This window comes from Homo sapiens, chromosome 16 (genome assembly GCF_000001405.40).
Source record: "Homo sapiens chromosome 16, GRCh38.p14 Primary Assembly".
NCBI classification, from domain to species: Eukaryota; Metazoa; Chordata; class Mammalia; order Primates; family Hominidae; genus Homo; species Homo sapiens.
In genome coordinates, this window is record NC_000016.10 from 55702171 (window position 1) to 55722699 (window position 20529).

A 20529-nucleotide genomic window follows, 5' to 3' on the forward strand; every position below is an offset into this window, starting at 1 on the left:
CAATTAGGGAATCAACTTGCACGTTCCCTGAGGTCCGTGAAGGAAGGGGGTGTTTTTCTGCCTTCTCTCTACCTCCTGCTGCCCCCGCCAGCTGGCCCTTGCTCCTTTCTGTCCCCACCATGTCATCAAGTCCTCGCTGTCTTTCTCTGCAGTTGCAACACTGGCTGGCCATCTGAGCCTGCCTGGAGGAGAAGGAGGAACCCCCATGCCAATGTCCAGGTCACAGGCATCCGCTGCGCTCCCACCTCGGACACCATCTTGGGATTCCTCCCCTGGAAGTTGTCCTTTCTGATCCTCTCTTCTTTTCCCATTTACAAATGATTTCGTGACTGTAGTTTTTGTTCACCTTCTGTGCATCTGGCCTGGGGGCTGTTAGCTCAGAGGAGAGGAGCAAACAGGAAAATGACTTCTGTTCTGTCCCCGCTGTTTTGGGGGAAGTCTCTCCCACTTTGGGATCCTGCTGAAGCTAGGTTCATGAGGTCGGAAATCCCCACCACATTTGCCTAGACTTTGGGCACAGGAGTTCTTAGTCCACCAAATCAGAGAGAGGATGGGCTTTTGATCAGATACCCCTCCCAAAAAAAAAAAAAACTAAAACTAAAGCAAAAATCAAACAAAATCTGGCTGAGTTTAGTGGGGTGGTTGGGGAAGGTACATAGACCCTCCTCTTGCCCACCCTAGACAGCCCTCTCATGTCTGAACCTCAGCCTGGGAGTTAGATTTATTTGTCTCTAAAATGAAGTCAGTGGATAGATGCTTTGAGGGATTTTGAGTAGAAACATTCATAGTTAATTTTCACTCTGGCCAATCTGAGTTTGATGTGTGTGTTCTGGAACATTCCTCCAGCTTTTGGTGGTCAGATGGCCCAGAGATATGGGGGACAGGAGGAAGAGGGTAAATGAACCACAGTGAGCAGGTTCTAGGAGGTACCTGCATCAGACAAGCTGGTGGAGGCCACGTGGCAAGCCACATCTACTGAGGCCTCATGCTGCTCTTGCTCTGTAAGACACGGAGCCCAGAAACCCATCTGCACTTCCTGAGACCTGCCTGGGGAAACGGGGGCAGGGACCAAGTGAGGCCTCATGTGTGTCTTCACCGTGCTGTCCTCACAAGGCCAGGTGGGTGCCCAAAGGGAGCCTGACAGGCTGTTGTGTTAATTTATTGTTCTTGCACACCTGCACAGCCTCCCTCTGGGGATCCCACCTGGAGTGGACCAGGGGTCTTGAGAAATGGAGAGTTGGCTGCAAAAACTCTCATGCACTAGATGTGGCACCTTGGAGGGCAGGGTGAGACAAGCAGCCCAGAAATACTCTCTCAAGTGGAGGGGAGAATTTTGAGAGTGGATGGAACAGTTTGGTGGTTTCAGAGAATTTCTAGGTTTCTACTTGGATCTACTTCTGATACAAACTTGCACTTGGTGCCCTCTGGTGGTGTTTAGTTTTAGTTCCGTAAGAGAAATGATTCCTAGTTTGCTAAATTGGTGGCATCTTTGGGAGGGGTTTCTGTTTATGGTTAGAGTCTCTTACACCCTTGTTGGAGGGATTCTTATTCTGACTGTGGGAGCTCCTGTTGCGGGATCTTGGGAAAAAATAAAGAAGCCGCTGCATTCGCACGTCAAGAAGGTGCTTTGCCTCAAATTGGGGTGTTGTTGAGCCTGGTGGTTCCTGCATGAAGAGGATTATGAGGGGACCAGGGTGGGGCAGGGAGATGGTTTTGTCTCCCAGGGTCCTGAGGTTTCCTTGCTGGGTCGGGGTCCTCAGGTCATTCTATAGATAAAAGAGGGAAAATCAGGAGACTTTGAATCTTTCTGTATAAAAAGGTCAGCTGAATGCCTGAGACAGCCCAGGTGGCAGGTGTCTTGGAGCCCTGTGAACAGTGAGGCTTAAGAATGGAGAACAATCAGGTCGGGGTCTGGGCCCCATTAGTGACTTTATATCCTCCCATAAAAGGTAACTTCTTCCTAGGTGTTACCATTTTTCTTTTCGTTTTTTGTTTTTGTTTTTGTTTGTTTGTTTGTTTGTTTGTAATAAAGCACTTTAATGCACATTACCTGCCATCTGCCCAGTGAGGACTGCAGGGCTATAGCTTCTATCTCCCCATTTCCCAGGTGAGAGAACCAAGGCCCAGCATTTTAGTCACTCTTGCTCAAGGTTTTTTAGCAACTAACAGATCGAGTTGGGCCTTCAATTCACATCCACTGACTCTCAGCCCAGATTATTTTGAATATTCCCTGCACAATAGGGTTCACCCCACCCAGGACTGTCATTTTTAAAAAACTCATTCAAACCGCAAAGGAAAATTTCTTAGCAAAAGAACAATGTGTTGGAGGATGGGAAGGGGCGAGAGAATGCCATTTATTTTCCTCTAGCTGGTTTCCAGAGAGGAAATTATTTAGCTGCTCTCTTTTGATGAAAATAATCACTCTTTGGAATAGTTGGATGTGAAAAGCTGAGTCTACTTGGTTGAAATGAGAGCAAACAGTCAGCAAAGCCTTTTGCATTAGAGCAGGGTCGTGCTTCCGAGAGAGCCTGCCATTTCCTCTTTGCCATCTGCATGTGGCCCCTTCTGCCTCCAGACATTTGTCCCGGGGTGAATCGGAGATGTGGTGCTAGCTGAACCAACACCAAACCAACGCAGTGGTGCTGCCTTGCGGCGGAAGTTGGCTCCTGAATCTGGGATGGGAACCTGGCTCCAAGCCTGGGTCCCCTGGGAGGGTGGGGGTACCCAGAAAGCCCTTGGAAGTTCTCGGGGAGGTGCTTGGAGATCATTTGGGTTTACCTTTCCACCCACATTTAATGGAGAGAGAGTATGGGCTTTATGTTAAGTCATCTTTGACTTCCTTTTTGTAGCTTGTTTTTAATAGCAGAGGTCACCCGGGACAAGGGTGCTGTGTACTGTATATGACACTTGACGCTTTTGATATTTTTTCAGGTTTTTAAAGAATTATTATTTTTCATGAAATGTAAAATATCAGTTTGAGAACATCACATTTACGTCTACTCAATGTCTAGTTATTTAGCACCCACCTTTTAGCTTTCATTCTAGATGAAAACGAGACAAGGGAGAAGGAGAGCTACCAACTCTTGCCAGATATCCTGCTGAACAGAAATCCCTGAAGCTGCCTTAATTCTCAAAAGGAGTTACCGCTCAGCTGGGAGCCAGTTCCTGCTATATGATCTGTTTTCTAGCCTCGCTAATGTGAGACTGAAGCATTCTTACCAAAGAAATCATTTCCTAGTAAAGAAGCCCATTGAACTCACTTTATTTGTTTATTTCCTTCGAAAGCCACCGAAGAGAGAAAAACAGAGAAGGTGTGTAGTGTGGCGGAAAAAGCACAGCATATAGTTTTACAGACTTGGGTCTGCAGCTGACTAGCTGGGTGGCCTGGGGATAGTGGCTTCATCTTTTGGGGCTTCAAGATTCTTTGTCTTTAAAATCAGGGGTTATATCAGATCATCAAAGTTCCCATTCCATTAAAGAAAACCCTGCATGTATCCATAATGATGCTCTCCTGTTAAATTTACAATGAAGGAAACACATCACTTAACTGTAAGAATTTCCCAAAATGAACTGATGACCAGTGATCTCTCTATCAGAGAAATGTCAGATTTCTAGCCTCCAGAACTTTGATTTTTCTGGACATTCAATAGTTCCTCTTTCTCAGATATTTTTCAACTGATGCCAGAAACACTTGGTATTTGTTTTTAATCCAACCCTTTTGTTTTGAGGCTTTGGAGGGTAACACATTTTCATACCCTGTGAGTCCCAGGATCCACAGCTCTGCTGTGGTCTTAGAAGCCACTGAAACATTGGTGAATGTGAAGTCACTTTTGGGGTGCCTGCCCTCATCCCTCTGTCTCTCTGCTTCCGTGTAAATAAAGACTGTTTCAATTGTGTCCTCTCTGTGTCATGGACTGTTCCAATGTCATGCAGATTTCTGTGTCTGATATGGATTTTAAAAGTTGTTCTCTTTGTGGAATATAAGTGTACAGAATAATAAATAATGTTTCCTGGGCTGTGTATCTGGTAGCAGAGTTCTGAATGCTTTCTTCCATGAAGGTGGAATGCTACAAATTATGTAAGGGAGGTGGGTGTATCTATGATCAGCTTCCAACTAGTAAAGAAGAGCGTCTGGTCATAGTGACCCACCTTTTAATCAAATAACTCTTTTTATAACCTATGGAAAAGGAGATTGGAAGGAGTTAAATCTGTAATCTTAGCTTTGAGATTAACATATATTTTTAAATAAAAAGAGGGCACCAAGTGATACCAGGTTTAGTTTAGTTTAGTTTTCATTTCTAAGGCTGTTTCAAGGAGCTCAGAACCTCCTGTTGGATTGAATTAAATACACAATTTGGTGCATGTGTGAATTTTTCTGGGGAGAGGGATACATTCACATTTAGACCTTAGAAGATCTAAGTCTTTGTTTGGGGAAGATGTAAGCTGAGTATTGTCATTGTTTGGAGAAGATGTGAACTTATAGGTAATTATTTTTAATGCAAGCCAGCAAATAGATAGTGATACCAATGTAAAAGGGGTGTTGTCAAATAACTGTTCAGTCAATGTCTTCAAATATCTAAAGGCTGTCAGAGAGTGTGTGGTGGGCCCAAGTGCTGAAATGGTGCCAATGGTAGGAAGTCCAGGAAGACAGCTTGCAAGATTCTACCAGAATAGAGAATGGGCTGTTGCTGGAAGTGGTAACTCCAGCTCTAGAGATATGCAAGCAGATAGCAGGCAGTGTCTCCTGGGGATGCAATGTCAGGTGGAATTGGGGGGAGGGAGGTTGCACAACCTCTAAGATTCCTTCCATTTGGAGTTCCTAGGGTTGTTTTTTTTCTTTTTTCTTCTTCTTTTTTTTTTTTTTTTTTTTTTGACAGTCATAAGCCTGCCTTGTACAGCAGCACTGGGAGATGCAAATACATTCATGCCAAGGACCCTGGGGTAGGAGTGGTTTGGCCTCACAAATTAGAGTTGGGAAGATATCCCAGAGAGGCTATTATCATTCTGATCATTTTGTTTCAACCCAGAATTGGAGTTGGGCTTTATTATAGTGAATCAAACAGAAGGCAGCTGCACTTCTGGCATTCCCTTGTGCCTGACGAGATCTGGTAAGCAGTGGTCTTGTGGGAGGAGGGGAGGGAGGCTGGTCCAGAGAAGGAAAGGGCAGCTGTTTTGTGGGGGTGATGGAGAATCTGGTGGCCCAGGCTTCCACCCTGTCCCCTAGGCTGACAACACAGTAGGAGAAGTCGGAGCAGCACAGATAAGCCTCACCTTAGGCACTTAGTGGGCTTCTGAATTTTCCCCAATTTAATTGCACCCCATCCTACTTCTGGAGATTGGATAGCTTCATTTTTATCTCCTCCCCAAAGGCACTGATACACGTAGTCTCTATCTGGGGCTCAATTTGTTCCTCTACAGCGGATCGGGAGTGGTCAGAACTAAGTGTTCATGAATGGGTTTCAAAATTTTTCAGAATCTTCTGAGATTAAATTCAAACTTCTGTTTGAATGAATTTGTGCTCATTTTTGGGGAAAAAGGATCCATACATTCATCAAGTTTTCAAATATTTAAAACCCACAAGTATATATTACTTTTGGGGGCCTCTCTCTTCTGATGATACATGGCATCGGTCTCTGCCCTTCACCCCAAACTAAATGAGGATGACAATAGACCTTATTTCTGAATCTCAGTCACCCCGCATTATGTTGACTTTGTTTTTTTGTCTGTTTGTTTCTGAGACAGGGTCTCACTGTGTCGCCCAGGCTGGAGTACAGTGGTGCGATGACAGCTCACAGCAGTCTTGACCTCCTGGGCTCAAAGTGATCCTCCCGCCTCAGCCTCCTGAGTAGATGGGATTATAAGTGCATGCCACCACAGTTGTCTAATTTTATTTTTGGTAGAAACAGTGACTCACTAGATTGCCCAGGCTGGTCTCAAACTCCTGACCTCAAGCAAACCTCCTGCCTTAGCTTCCTGAGTAGCTGGGATCACAGGTGCAGGCCACTGGGCCTGGCTTGACTTTTCATATCAATCATCCCACAGCAAATACCTCATTTTATCCCGTGACAATGAGCCTGCAAGATAGGCAGCAACAGGAACACCGTGCCCACTGGACAGATGAGACAACTGAGGCTGGAGCTGAGAAGTGACCCGCCTAAGGTCACGCAGCTACTGAAGGGCAAAGTCAGGTCCCCTCATGCCTGGGTCAATGCTCTTCACATTATATTCACCGCCCTATGGAAATAAGGTAGAGTGGGGACCAGACAAGTCCTGACGGGTACCACAGAACTGTGGGAAGAGACTGCAGGGCTATAAGGACTTGGTCACCTAACAGGAGCTTGTTGCAGGGTACTGGGAACATTGCTTCGTCACACAGTCTCAAACAGGACTGGAAGGATCAATGCTGTTAGGGATCAATGCTGTTAGGGATCAATGCTCTGGAAAAGTTCTGGCCCCCCAGTGTCCACTTGAGACCAACTACTCTGATGTGATGATTGAGTCATGTTGGAAAAGTCATTGCTAAGCCTTGGCTCTCCCAGCTGTGAAATGAGAATGTTGGATTGGGTGATTCTCTAAAGTCCTTTCTGTTTCTGACTCTATGAGATACACTCAGGGAGCCGGCATGAAGTTGATGGGCTAATTCATATGAAGATGTAAATGACTACTTTGTCAGGCAGACAGTGACAGATAAAGGTGGGAGTTGCTGCCTTTTGTTCATCCTATAAGTTTAGTGCGGGGCTTGGTAAACTATTTCTGTAAAGGTCTCTGTCACAACTTCTCAGCTGCTGTTGTAGCATGAAAGTAACCTTATTTATAAGTATCAGGTGGTGGGTTGGATTTGGCCTGAGGTCTGTGGTTTGCAGATCTCTGGTTAGGTGGAAAGAGTGAAGGGTCTGGAGTTGGACTAGACCTGGGTTTGAGTCTCAGCTTTACCACTGACTGCTGTGAAATCTTGGACAAGTTATGTAAAACTTCCGAAGGCTTTCTTGTTTCTGAAGAGTGAGAATAAGATTCCCACAAGAGAGTTTTCAGGAAGGTGAAACAAGGTGATGTACACTTACAGCAACTCTCTGGGGCTGCAGTACCTGGATTCAAGACCTGGTTCCATCACTCCACAGTGTGAATCCCTGGGCAAGCCACATAACTTCCCTTTGCCTCCGTTTATCATTCATAAATGGGAAAGACAGTAGTGACCCCTGCTAGGGTCATGGGGAGAATTAAATGTTAATATTGTATTCAGAATAGTACCACCTACACAGTTTATCCTTTTGTATATTTGGTTCATGTCAGCTATAGGATGAATGTATATTTCCTCCTCTCATCACCTCTGCCCATTTCAAAGGCATCCCAGCTACCACTGTGTTTTCACGAAGCCAAATCAGTGTCTGTTTCCTCGTCCTCTTGGATCCCCTCCTTAGGATGGTGCCCTCCTTAGGATGATGTCCTTGAACTTGGGTCTGGGTAGCCAAATCCAAGTTTCCCTGGGCCTGAGTGCATGCAACCACCTGGGCAGAAGTTCAAGCTTCTGGAAATCCCAGGCTCCACAGACCTTGCCTCCTGCAGGAACCGGCTTCCCTGTAAGCCCTCAGCTGTCAGCCCCCATTAGACCACTGGCATGGGAGATATTACTCTAGGCTGGCCCTGGTCTTGGCTATGACCTGGAAAGGGAGGAGACCAGAGGGAGACTCCTCGAAGAGCTGGCACTTGTCTGGGTCCTGGAGTCCTGCTTATCAGCTACCGGCTCTGCCAGCCTCAGGCCTGGGGAAAGCTGGGTCGGGCCAGACTAGCAGGGCATGAGGGTAAGGGTTGGGCTGCAGTACATCGAGGAGGACCACCCTGTCCCCAGAGAAGGCCCAGCAAGGGTCACAGCCTGGAATGCCCAGGAGCCACAAAGCCACCATCTCTGCAGCAGAGGGTAGTTGTTAGGTGGGGAGCACTCCACACACCCCTGCAGCTCCAGGCTGCAATCCAGACCCCAGCCCCGGAGGGGCAGACAGGAGTCAGAAGAAGAGAGGCCTAACACAGCAGTAGCACCTGGTCACAGTCAGCCCAGCAACAGGGCACCTGCCTGCCGTCCACCTCGAGCCATTCCCAGGACCCTGCTAAACCTCTTTTCTTGCACCACGGCAACCAAACTGCCTCCTTGTAGTCGCCTTTGACCCCTGACCCACATCTGCAGTCACTTGGTGGTAACAATCCCCTATCATGGGGAGAAGGGACAGGGTAGGGCTGGCATTCGAGGCATACCCACTCACATAAGAGCATTGCAGCTCTGGCCTGTCAAATGGACTGCAGAGCCAAACCAGGGAGTGTCAGAGACAAGATTAGGGGATCTGGGCTCCACAGTTACATTTGTGGAACCCTTGCCCTTGAGTTTTGGAATTGGAAGGACAACAAAGCACAAAGAGTGTGTGGCTTCATTAAAACAGCTGAGAGGATGAGGCCACATCCTGGCCACACAAGCCCTGGAGTTCCAGGAGGACCAAGGCTTTAGGAGCATCAGCACCTTGGACAAGGCCAATTGGCTGATCTGCCTTTAATTAGCAAACAGGTTGGTTTACCTTTTGTCAGTTACTATTCTGAGTGCTTTACAAATATCAGTCACTGAACCCTCCTAACGACTCCATGAGATAGCATGATTATTCGCATTTATAAATGGGGGAAACTGAGACACAAAGAGCTGAAATAACTAGTTGTTGGAACTGGGATTTGAACCCGGTAAGTCTGGCTCCAGTCTGTGTCTTTAACCATTGATCTGCCCCCTTCCCTGGTTCCCGGCCACATGGACATGACATGGTCAGGCTGGTGTGGACATGAGTCCTCCTCTACTTCCATCCCTTCTTCAATTGCAAATGCATAATACTAAATAAATAACTTATGTGTATACATATGTAAGTTGTACACATATATGTAATTTAACACACATATATGTGTTATACACATATATGCCTATTTTTAACAAAAATATGTAAATGTAAATATATATGTATACGTGTGTGTGTCTATACATATATATATACATATATATATACATATATACATATATATACATATATACATATATATATACATATATATATACATATATATATACATATATATATATACACATATATATATATATTTAAGTGCCTACAATGTGATAGGAAGCAAACAACTTGCTCTAGATCACATAGTAAGAGGGAATTCAGTTTGGACAGAGGCTCCCTATCTCCTAGGAAAAGTATCTATCCTGGCTTTCTCCAGAAGCCCCCCAGTCCTGTACTCTCTGGTTCTTTATGCCAAATACAGGTTTAGTCTGGGCTCACTAGCCAAAAGCAAAAAGATTAGGCACATATATGTTAGGATGCAAGTGACTGCATCTAACAGAAATGTAACTATAGTTTCTTCATAAATGGACTTTTCTTATCCTCTTGTAACAAACAGGCAATGGGTCAGGGAGAAGGTATTGAGCAGGAAGAAGATGGAGAAGTAACTTTGGTCCTAGAGAAGGACTTCAACAGGGCCCCCTGCCTGGATGTGTCCAGAAGCCCCAGATGGCTCTGGAGCTGCTTTAAAAAGTAATAAAAAAATTGGATGCCTTCCAGCTTCTTGTTCCACTATCCATAGCATGTGGTACTCATCCTCATGGAGAAAAGATAGTGAAGCCACCTGCAGATGCCTTGCCCACCTTTCAGGCAGGAGGAAGGGGGAGGGAGAGAAAAGGTAAAGGCAGAAGACAGTTGAGTCATCTCTTGTCATGCTGGAGGAGCATGGCTTCCCCAGAACCCCTCCGCAGTCTGCCTACACCCCATTGGCCAAATCTGTGCAACACAGAACCCGTGACTATAAGAGAGTCTGGAGAAGTAAGAACTTTTGCTGGGTACGTTGCTGCCCTGAACAGAATCATGGTTCTCTTAGGGAGAGGATGGGAAGGACATTGAGGAGATGCTGATCGCTGCCTCCCTCTCTGCAGCTTCCTCACCCCAGGTTCCCTCATCTGCTGAGAACAAGAGGGTCCCTGTGGAAAGCACCCTGGACAGAAAGGCCACAGATAAGGGCATCTATGTTCTATGGCCTGATATTAGTTACTCCCTTGGGCTCAAGTTGTGGGGACTCAGGACTCAGGTCTTGCAGGAGGAAGACAGACAGACCTGGGGTTGGCATTCACAGAGGCACCACTGAGCTGGCAGGTAGATATGTCCATTGAGCAGAGTATTTCTGCCCATTCTAGGTTCCCTCTCCTCTTCCCTGGCCTGACAGGTGCGTTAGTAACAACGGAGGGAGATTTCTAATTGATAATATGAGCACTACGACCACCAGGTGGCACCAACACACACTTCTGCTGCTAAGCAGAGGCTGAACCCAGACCCTTCTCAGAGCCTGTCTGAATCCTCAACACTCTCTGGAACCAGGGGAGTGAAAAGCAGTTTTGAATAAATGAAAAGATCCATCTTGTTTTGTTACTATCATATCTTGGTTGCACTCATTCGTTCATTCGTTTATTCATTGATCAGAATCATACATGGTCCCACTATGTTCCAGGAAAGAACAATGGAAAACAGAGAAGGAATATTCCTGCCCGGGAGGAGCTCTCAGTCTAATGGGGAGAGGGATTGTGTGTTGATAACGAAACATTTATTGAGCACCTATTGCATGCTCATGGAAAGCCCTTTAGTGGCTCCTCATTTCCTTCAAGGTAAATTCAAGTCTTCAGCCTCTCTGTCTTCATCTCACCCCACCTCTCTGCACCATCACCCTACACTAGCTGCACATAATCCAAGCACACCCTGTCTCCCTGAGCCTCAGCCTTAGGCTCTTCCCCCTCTTTCATCTCTCTGAACCTGAATAACTTCTGTTTGTCACTCAAGATATCAGACCCTAAAAAATGCCTTTCCTAACCTATCCATCACCACGTTTGCCACATTTATTTAAATGATCTTTCAGGGGACCAGCAAATTTTGAGACAGGAGGCAATAACTGCTTATTCATATTTGTATGCCTGGTGCTTAGACAAGGATCTGGCACATGTAAGCCTTAAGGGGATGGTTGGGTTTATAGAGATGAATGAGACAAGGTCATCTCATAACCTAGCAGAGAAATCATGCACAGAGCCCCATGTGGGGAGATCAGAGAGGGCTCCCCATAGCAGGTGGTGCTAGAGTTGCGTCTTAGGGAAATTCCAGGTCATGAGAACAGTGAAAGTGGCAGCACAGAGGCATGAATCAGTAGCAGAGAGTACAATATCTACAGAAATTTGCAGGGTCCAAGCAGAGGGGCTGTAGAAGAGCATAAAATTCAGAATATGGAGACATCCTGTGCTGAGATAAGGCAGTGGAACTTTTTCCAGAAGGCAAAAGGGAGCCAAGGGTTTTAGATGGGTGGAATGATATAATCATAATTGGGTGTAGATGGTGCATTAGTGAACGATTGTGGTGTAGCGAACTACCCCCAAACTTATAAAGACAACCATGTATTTAACTCGTAAATCTGTGGCCCATCTAGGAAGTTCTGCAGATACTGACCAAGCTCCGCATCTTGATTGGGTTTCCTCATGTGTCTGTAGCTGGCAGGCCAGTTGGAAACTGGCTGGTCTTAGATCGCCTCCCCTGGGATGTTTTCCTTCCATGCAGTGTCTCATTCCCCAGGGAAATCATGTGGGTTCAAGGGAGTGAGTGGACATGAGTAAGGCCTCTTAAGGCCTTGGCTGAGAACTGGCTCAGGCACCGTCACGTCTGCCATACATTATTTTGAAACCACATGTAAAAGCTGATATATAGAGAGGTGAAAACAATTGTGGCCATTCAGATGGCTCACTCTGCCTCTGTAGTGTGGAGAGTAGTGATAGAGAGACCAATTAGGAATCTTACACCAGCCCAGGTGGGAGGCAAAGGGTGGGTTTAAAACAAATATTTTATTTTTTTAAGTTCAAATTTAACTTTTAATTGACATATAGTATTAGGTTCTTTCAAATGTAATTGCAGTTTTTGTACTGTTGAAATGTGCTGTTTGATATTGGAATACATCCTTAAATAAATGTGGTTATGCTATACATGATTTTAATGCACATATTTCGCTTTAATTTTTTTGCTAATGACTTATTACTTGCTGTTTATTTCATATTTATTTTAGGCTATGGAAATAATGTTAGACAAAAAGCAAATTTGAATGATTTTTTTTTAGTTGAAAATGGGTTGTAAAGCAGTGGAGACAACTCACAACATCAACAACACATTTGGCCCAGGAACTGCTAATGAACATACGGTGCAGTGGTGGTTCAAGAAGTTTTGCAAAGGAGACATGAACCTTGAAGACCAGGAGTGTAGTGACCAGCCATCAGAAGTTAACACTGACCAATTGAGAACAATCATCGAAGCTGATCCTCTTACAGCTACGGGAGAAGTTGCTGAAGAACTCAACTTGACCATTCTATGATCGTTCGGCGTTTGATGCAAATTGGAAAGGTGAAAAACCTCAATAAGTGGGTTCTTAATGAGCTGAGCAAAAATTTAAAAAAAGTATTTTTGAAGTGTCATCTTCTCTTATTCTATGCAACAACAATGAACAATTTCTCAACTGGATTGTGACATGTGATGAAAAGTGGATTTTATACGGCAACTGGTGACAACTAGGTCAGTGGTTGGACTTAGAAGAAGCTCCAAAGCACTTCACAAAGCCAAACTTGCACCAAAAAACAAAAGGTCATGGTCACTGTTTGGTGATCTGCTGCCAGTCTGATCCACTACTGTTTTCTGAATCCCAGTGAAACCATTATATCTGAGAAGTATGCTCAGCAAATCGATGAGATGCACTGAAAACTGCAATGCCTGCGACCAGCATTGGTCAACAGAAAGGGTCCAATTCTCCACAACAACCAACTGCACATCGCACAACCAACACTTCAAAAGTTGAATGAATTGGGCTATGAAGTTTTGCCTCATCCGCCATATTTACCTGACCTCTAGCCAATTGTCTACCATTTCTTCAAGGATCTTGACAACTTTTTGCGGAGAAAATGCTTCCACAAACAGCAGGATGCAGAAAATGCTTTCCAAGAGTTCATCGAATCCCGAAGTATGGATTTTTACGCTACAGGAATAAACAAACTTATTTCTCATTGGCAAAAATGTATTAATTGTAATGGTTTTTATTTTGATTAATAAGTGTGTTTGAGCCTAGTTATAATGATTTAAAATTCACAATCCAAAACCACAATTACTTTTGCACCAACCTAATAATTGTACATACTTATGGGGGCACGTAGTGATGTTTCACTACACATAATGTACAGTGATCAGATCAGGGTAATTAGAATAGCTATCATCTCAAACATTTAATATTTCTTTGTGTTGGGAATATTCAGTATTCTCCTAGCTATTTGGAACTGCATAGTACATTATTGTTAACTATAGTCATTCTAAAGTGCTATAGAACATTAGAATGTATTCCTCTTATTTAACTGTAATTTTGTCTCCCTTAACAAATTTCTCACTATCTTTGCCTTTCCCTACCCTTCCCAGCCTCTAGCATCCTCTGTTCTAGTTTTTTCTTTTATGAGATCAACTTTTTAAAGCTTCTCAGGATGAGTGAGACCAAGCTTTGTTTGACTTTGTGTTCCTAAAACAAAGGTTTTAATAAAACAATACAAAAGGTTGGGCAGGCCAAAGCTACCCCAACATTAAAGGCCCCCAAAGAAGTCTGATCTATTTACCCTAAAAGCCAGAAAGGAAAGATTACAATGAGAAACCCGACCAAAAATTGCTTGGGGCTATGATTAGGCAGGTTAATCAACTGACAAAAGGGCCAAGGTCCCTTTGCTAAACACCTTGCTGGAAACCCAAGCTTTGTGCACATGAGTGGGTGAAATGGTCAGGAGTTGGAGAAGAGAAACTCCAGGGCTCCTTGATACCAAAGCCCCTATGTGCTGTGGTGAAGCCCCAGTGTGGGCTATATACAGAATTGTATACAGAATATATAATTGTAAAGGCTGATAGGGTTATGAAAGTTGGAATATTTGAACAGGCTTTATGTAAGAAAGCAGTGTCTCCTTTGCCTGAGTGTTTTGTGGGAATGGATATTGTCTGGCTGGAGAACACTTCCCTTACCTAGTATTATAAAACTGAAATCTGTTGATATAGTCCTAATGGAGACTATAGTTAGGAATAGAAGAGTTGAGGGAATTAAGGTGAACATTTGGATGAAAACTAATATGTTTGGGCAGGCTTTATGTGAAGTGCTTGCATCTCCTTTACATGATTGTATTATGGGACTAGACATTGTATCTGACTGGGGAATGTTTCCCCTACCTAGTACTGTAAAACAGAAGGCATATATATCCAACCTCCAAGCAATATTAATTGAACACACTAAATGAGAACCAGTAAGATTGTCTGAGGGCAGACAGTGTAGACTGGAAGCTGGAGCACTGGTAGGAACAAATTCTCAGCGTGATAGTCCTGGCGGGGCGGGGGCGGGGGGAGGGGACATAAACCGGGACTTATGGCAAAAGCCTGTGAGTGCCTCCCAGTGATGAACACTGGGACTTTGAACTAGAGAATTTCCACCTGAGGGTCAATTATTACCTTGTGATTGGACATTAATTGAAGCTACCTCAGTGACTGAAGGACATAAAACGATCTTAAATCCTGAAATACCCATGATATCTTGGGTGATGTCAGAGAAACACTCTACTGGGGTTAGGGGGAAGGCAGTGTTCAGAGGTATTCCATGAAAATGAGTTCAATGGAAATAGAATTCAGTGGAAATGGTTTATACAGGATCATGCTATCTAGGAGTGCAAGGAGGAGACACTCACAAACAGAGAGTCTCTTTCACCCTAGGACTGATTCCAGAGCTGTGTGAGGAGCTTCTGAATTATATTAGTTGTACAGTGCCCTATAAACCATTCTTAACTGAGCACTAAGAGCTGCTTGTTCTGTGGACAGCAATTCCAAGGTGAACGAACATCCTGTTTGGAAGGCCACCACTTTGTTTGAAGAAAGCAAAAACAAATCAGCTCAATGGGTTGAATTGCATGCTGTTTACCTAGCATGATGGAAGAATTGAACAGTGGGAAAAGCCCCCATGTTGGGGCCAGTGGCCTGGCTACACACTCAGGCAAGAGGGTAATGGAAACCTGGCCTAGTAAAAGGTTGCTCACAGGGGGCACAGTCCTACGGGAATTTGAGGGGTGCATTAAAGTAGGACATGTCAATGCCCTTCAGAAGAATCGCTTTCCAGATTTGAAAGGTAGTTGGAATTGGCAAATAGATGTCCCTGTGTGCTTGCTTAAGGTGGACACCTGGTTCCATGAAATGAACTGACACTGGGGTAGGGCAGCCACGCAGCTGGAATGAATCTAGGCATATTCCTTTTGCATCCTCTGAGGCACAAAATGCCAATAAGAACTGTTCTGTTTGCCAGCAGGAGACAGAGGTTCCAGAGGGCTATGTGGCAGACCCTGGTGGGAAGGCCCTGAACATAGCTGGCAAGTGAGACTGATGGTGGTAGCCCTGGCATGGGGGTGCTAAAAAGGGGTCTTGACCAGAATAGATGCTGTCTCTAGACTGGGTTTTGCTTACCTGGTGGAAGATGCAAATACTCAGAATGCCATAAAAGAAGTGGAATAGAAGATATTGCACCAATTTGGATGGCAGATTCACATTTCTTCAGGCCAAGAAATACGCAATATAGCCTATAATGTCCAACAATGGGCAGAGAGATCTCCTCCTCAGAATAATAGTTTGATAGAAAATTGGAACAGACAACTAAAACATTGGTTGTCTGAAATGGAGGGAGATAAATGCATGAAAGGCTGGCTTGCACATCTTCACAAGTGTATGCTCACACTCAGCAGGAGGAGATGAAGAAGTGCCCCCACTAGATAGACTCCTCTGTTTTCCTGGTGGATCTGGGAAAGAAGAGATGGGGAGAATGCTGGTGTGACTATGCAATTCTTAGTAGGGAAAGAATATGCTGATACTATGACTATTTTTTTATCTTCTTCACACTATATCAACTTTTTTTTTCTTTTTCTTATCTGATGCAGTGGTTATAGAACCAGGGCTGATTCCAACGACAACAAAAATGTGTAAATTCCTAAGGGCCTGATGGGGCAGATTGTGCTCTGATCCCATCTGTAAAAATTGGGGTTCATAGTAAATGCATTTATATTTTACCAGGTGGTAGAAACACCCCACTAGTTCTGCACCTGTGTAACTTTACCCTATCTGAATGGGAGTGGACTAAGTGGGAGGCACTTGCTAGACTAGCATTGCTGCCTGCAATCTGGACCAGCACAGTGGCCAAAACTAATGTACCTTCCGAAAGATGGAAAGTTTAGGCAAAAATGGGGAGAAGGAGGAAGAGTAGCTAAGGGCAAAGGAATGAATAAATGGGTTGTGTGATGACGGAAATCCAATATATATTAACATCTCAAAAGAGGCTCAGAGCAAGTGATGATATTGTCTCTTAGCTCCATTATACAGATGCCTAAAAGGCTAAAGCTGTATGTTTGCAGAGTCCAGTCTTGCTTTTGGAACCCAGCAAGATCTCTCCAACAAGGCTACCAGCCCAAGTGCTCTCTCCCTGGGAGACATTTTCATACAATATAGCGATGAAGTGAGACTAATTATTAATGATGGAATGGGATTCTAGTAATGCACCAGTATTTTTTTGAGTTCTATATTGTATGCTGTAAAGGGTTTCTGGCCAGAGTGACCCAGAGGGATGGGCTGTGACATCATAAGAAACACATATTAGGGCCCTGGCCTCAGCCAGGGACCCCTGCAGTCTGGAACATCCAACAAAAGAAACACAGGCACAGCACCAGTGATAGGAGGGGCTTCCTCCAAGGTCCAGGAGTGTACCTGGTAAGGGGGTTACCTTTCTCCTCCACTGCAATGCAGAGTATGGCTGCAAATGAAAGGAAATACAGAGAAGCCATGCTGCTAAGAGCCTATCTACTGCCCATTACCCTTAAGCCACTCTGTATCTTTTAAGATCTAGTGGATCATAGCCTAAACTATAACATCAAAAATATTTTGATATTATGCCATCCTGTGAAACCAAGGGCAAGAATTTAGCCACAAATAAAGACCCTGAACAGAACCTTGACCTTCTGAAAACACCCAGAAGCCAACTGACAATACTCAACTTACACCACAGTAAAATGAACACAAACCCTCCCAGATGAGAAAGAATCGGTGCAAGAACTCTGGCAACTCAAAAAGCCAGAGTGTCCCCTTACCTCCAAATGAGTCCACTAGATTTCCAGGAATGGCTCTTAACCAGACTGAAATGACAGGCATAGAACTCAGAATGCAGATGGCAAGAAAGCTCATCAAGATTTAGGAGAAAGTTGAAACCTAACCCAAGGAATCCAGTAAAACAATCCAAGACCTGAAAGACAAAATAGCCGTTTTAACAAAGAACCAAACTGAACTTCCAGAGCTAAAAAATTCACTACAATAATTCTATAATATAATTAAAAGTATTATCAACAGAATAGACCAAGATGAGGAAAGAATCTCAGAGCTCAAAGGCCAGTACTTCACATCGACACAGTCAGACGAAAGTTAAAAAAATTTTATTTTCAAGAGAATTAAATCGTTTATTGATTACACGTGATAATGGATGATACACAAGCTTCATTCCCATCTATAATTTTATCTGGTACCATTATTCAATTTAGATATATTGCATAGGATGTGCCAACAATCACTTTTATAACCATTCCATGATTTTGCTTGGGTAATCCCTTTTAATGGTGAACTTCAGGTCACAACAGTAACTATCAGTTCAACTACACCAAGGTTTCCAAAGACAATGGCTTCTCCACCCAAGCAGGTTGTATATAAATTCCAAATAGAACCTGGCATCACCCTGAAGGAATTCTAACTTCACACTGTTGGGGAAATTTACCAAGATGGCTTCAGAGTAGACTAACTTTACACAGCACATTAAAAAAAAAGACATTTATTCAGCATCACGATCAGACTATTACATTTAGCAATCAACAGCATGGGTGCAAAAAAAAAATCTACATTAAAACCCTTTGTTGGAATGCTTTACACTTTCCACAGAACAGAAACTAAAATAACCTGTTATACAATTAGTCACAAATACAGTCCTTGAGTTTTTTGCCCATACACATGAGTATTTGTCTAAAACATGTCTTCTTTGTAGCAGCTAGGCCCTGCCACCACTGTGCTTGGCTGAGTTCACAAATCTGTCGTAACCTGTAGCTTCCCTGTCACTTCTCTGGCTCTCCTCTCCTGCTAAGCTTTGTTTCCTAATTAAAATCTTCAATGAACAAAACTTCCAAGAAGTATGTAAAGAGACCAAATCTGCAATTCATTGGCATTCCTGAGAGAAAAAAAGAGAATAAGCAACCTTGCAAAATATATGTGGGGATATAGTCCATGAAAGTTTCTCTAATCTCACTAGAGAGGTTAACATGCAAATTCGGGAAATACAGAGAACTCGCTAGATGCTATACAACATGACCATCCTCAAGGAACATAGTCATCAGATTCACGAACATCAACCCAAAAGAAAAAATCTTAAAGGCAGCTAGAGAGAAGGGTCAAGTCACATACAGAGAGAACCCCATCAGGCTAGCAGCAGACCTATCAGCAGAAATCTTACACCTCAGAAGATATTGGGGGTCTATTTTTAGTGTCCTTAAAGGAAAGAAATTTCAACCAAGAATTCATATTCCTTCAAACTAAGCTTCATAAGTGAAGTAGAAATAAAATCCTTCTCAGATAAGCAAATGCTGAGGGACATTGTTTCAACTAAACCAGCCTTACAAGAGGTCATTAAGGGAGTGCTAAACATGGAATCAAAAGAGTGATACTTGTTACCACAAAAACACACTAAGAATATAGCCCGCAGGTACTATAAAGCAACTACACAACCAAGTCTACATAACAACAAGCTAGCAACACAGTCACAGGCTCAAAATCTCATATACCTATTCTAACCCTGAATGTAAATGGGCTAAATGCCTCCACTTAAAAGATATAGAGTGGCAAGCCAGATAAAAAGACAAGACCCAACCATCTGCTGTCTTCAAGAGACTCATCTCACATGTAATGACACCCACAGGTTCAAAGTAAAGGGATGGAGAAATATCTACCATGCAAATGGAAAACTAAAAAGAACCAGTCACTATTTTTATGTCAGATAAAATAGATGTTAAACCGATTTCTATTAAGAAGGACAAAGAAGGGTATTACGTTATGCTAAAATGTACACTTCAACAAGAAAAATTAACTATCCTAAATATATACACACCCAACATTGGAGCACCCCAATTCATGAAACAATTCTTCTTGGACTACAAAAAGACTTAGATAACCACACAATAAGAGTGGGAGTCTTCAACATTCCACTGACAGCATTAGACAGATCATTGAGGCAGAAAACAAACGAAGAAACTCTAGACTTAAACTTGACTCTTGGCCAGTTAGACCTAATAGACATCTATAGAACACTCCACCAAACAATGGCAGAACAAATACTCTTCTCACCTGCACACAGAGTTCCGCTGTTGTCGTCCAGGCTGGAGTGCAATGGTGCGATCTTGGCTCACTGCAACCTCCGCTTCCCAGGTTCAAGTGATTCTTCTGCCTCAGCCTCCTGAGTATCTCTGGGATTATGACACCCATCATCACGGCTGGCTAATTTTGTTTTTTTGTTTGTTTGTTTGTTTGTTTGTTGTTGTTGTTGTTTGTATTTTTACTAGAGACCGGGTTTCACCACACTGGCCAGGCTGGTCTCAAACTCCTGACCTCAAAAGATCTGCCTGCCTTGGTCTCCCAAAGTGCTGGGATTACAGGTATGAGCCACCACACCTGACCACACAGAACATATTCTAAGATTAACTACACGCTCAGTCATAAAGCAAGTGTTAAAATTTTTTTTGTAAAGTTGAAATCATACCAAGCACACTCTCGGAACACAGTGCAATAAACATAAAAATATTATCAAGAACATCTCTCAAAACTGCATAAATACATGGAAATTAAACAACTTACTCCTGAATAACTCCTGGGTGAATATCAAATTTAAGGCATAAATCAAAAAATTCTTTGAAATTATTGAAAATAGGGATGCAACTTACCAAAATCTCTGGGATGCAGCTAAAGCAGTGTTAAGAGGAAAGTTTAGAGCATGAAATGCCTTCATCAAGAAGTTAGAAAGATCTCAAATTAACAATGTAAGTTTGCACCTAAAGGAACTAGAAAAAGAGAACAAACCAACCCCAAAGCTAGCAAAAGAAAACTAAAATTAGAGAAGAATTTGACACTGAGTTGCAAAAATCCATACAAATGATCAATAAAACTACAAGTTGGTTATTAGTAAAAATAAACCAGATCAATAGGCCCCTAACTAGATTAACAAAATCAAAGAAGATCCAAATAAGCACAATCAGAAATGACAAAAATGATGTTACACCTGATCCCACAGAAATATAAAAGATCCTCAGATAATATTATGAATAACTCTATGTGCACAAATTAGAAAATCTGGAGAAAATAAATA

At 43.3% G+C, this 20529-nt stretch overlaps 1 protein-coding gene and 1 long non-coding RNA gene across 14 annotated transcripts in view; one reads left to right on the forward strand and one right to left on the reverse strand.

Moving 5' to 3' along the window:
- Window positions 1-4022, forward strand: part of SLC6A2 (solute carrier family 6 member 2) — a 50205-nt gene extending 46183 nt beyond the window's left edge. For 4 of the 10 annotated variants that reach the window (NM_001172501.3, XM_047434511.1, XM_011523300.3 and 1 more), the window contains one exon: window positions 153-4022. In NM_001172501.3, the coding sequence (NP_001165972.1) occupies window positions 153-176 (24 nt within the window). In that variant the 3' untranslated portion in view covers window positions 177-4022. The remainder of the gene's footprint in view (window positions 1-152) is intronic. The other 6 variants (XM_011523295.3, XM_006721263.2, XM_047434510.1 and 3 more) reach the window with 2 other exon arrangements.
- On the reverse strand, window positions 12096-19666 carry LOC105371280 (uncharacterized). 4 transcript variants are annotated; one of them, XR_933607.1, is made up of 4 exons: window positions 19279-19408; window positions 15561-15889; window positions 12934-13068; window positions 12096-12408 (listed from the first exon to the last, which is right to left on the reverse strand). It is a non-coding gene; the product is annotated as an uncharacterized LOC105371280 (long non-coding RNA). The 4 variants fall into 4 exon arrangements; XR_933606.1 differs by having other exon boundaries at window positions 12096-12476; XR_933605.1 differs by lacking the exon at window positions 19279-19408 and adding an exon at window positions 19515-19666 and having other exon boundaries at window positions 12096-13068.
- Between the last annotated feature and the right edge of the window lie 863 nt (window positions 19667-20529).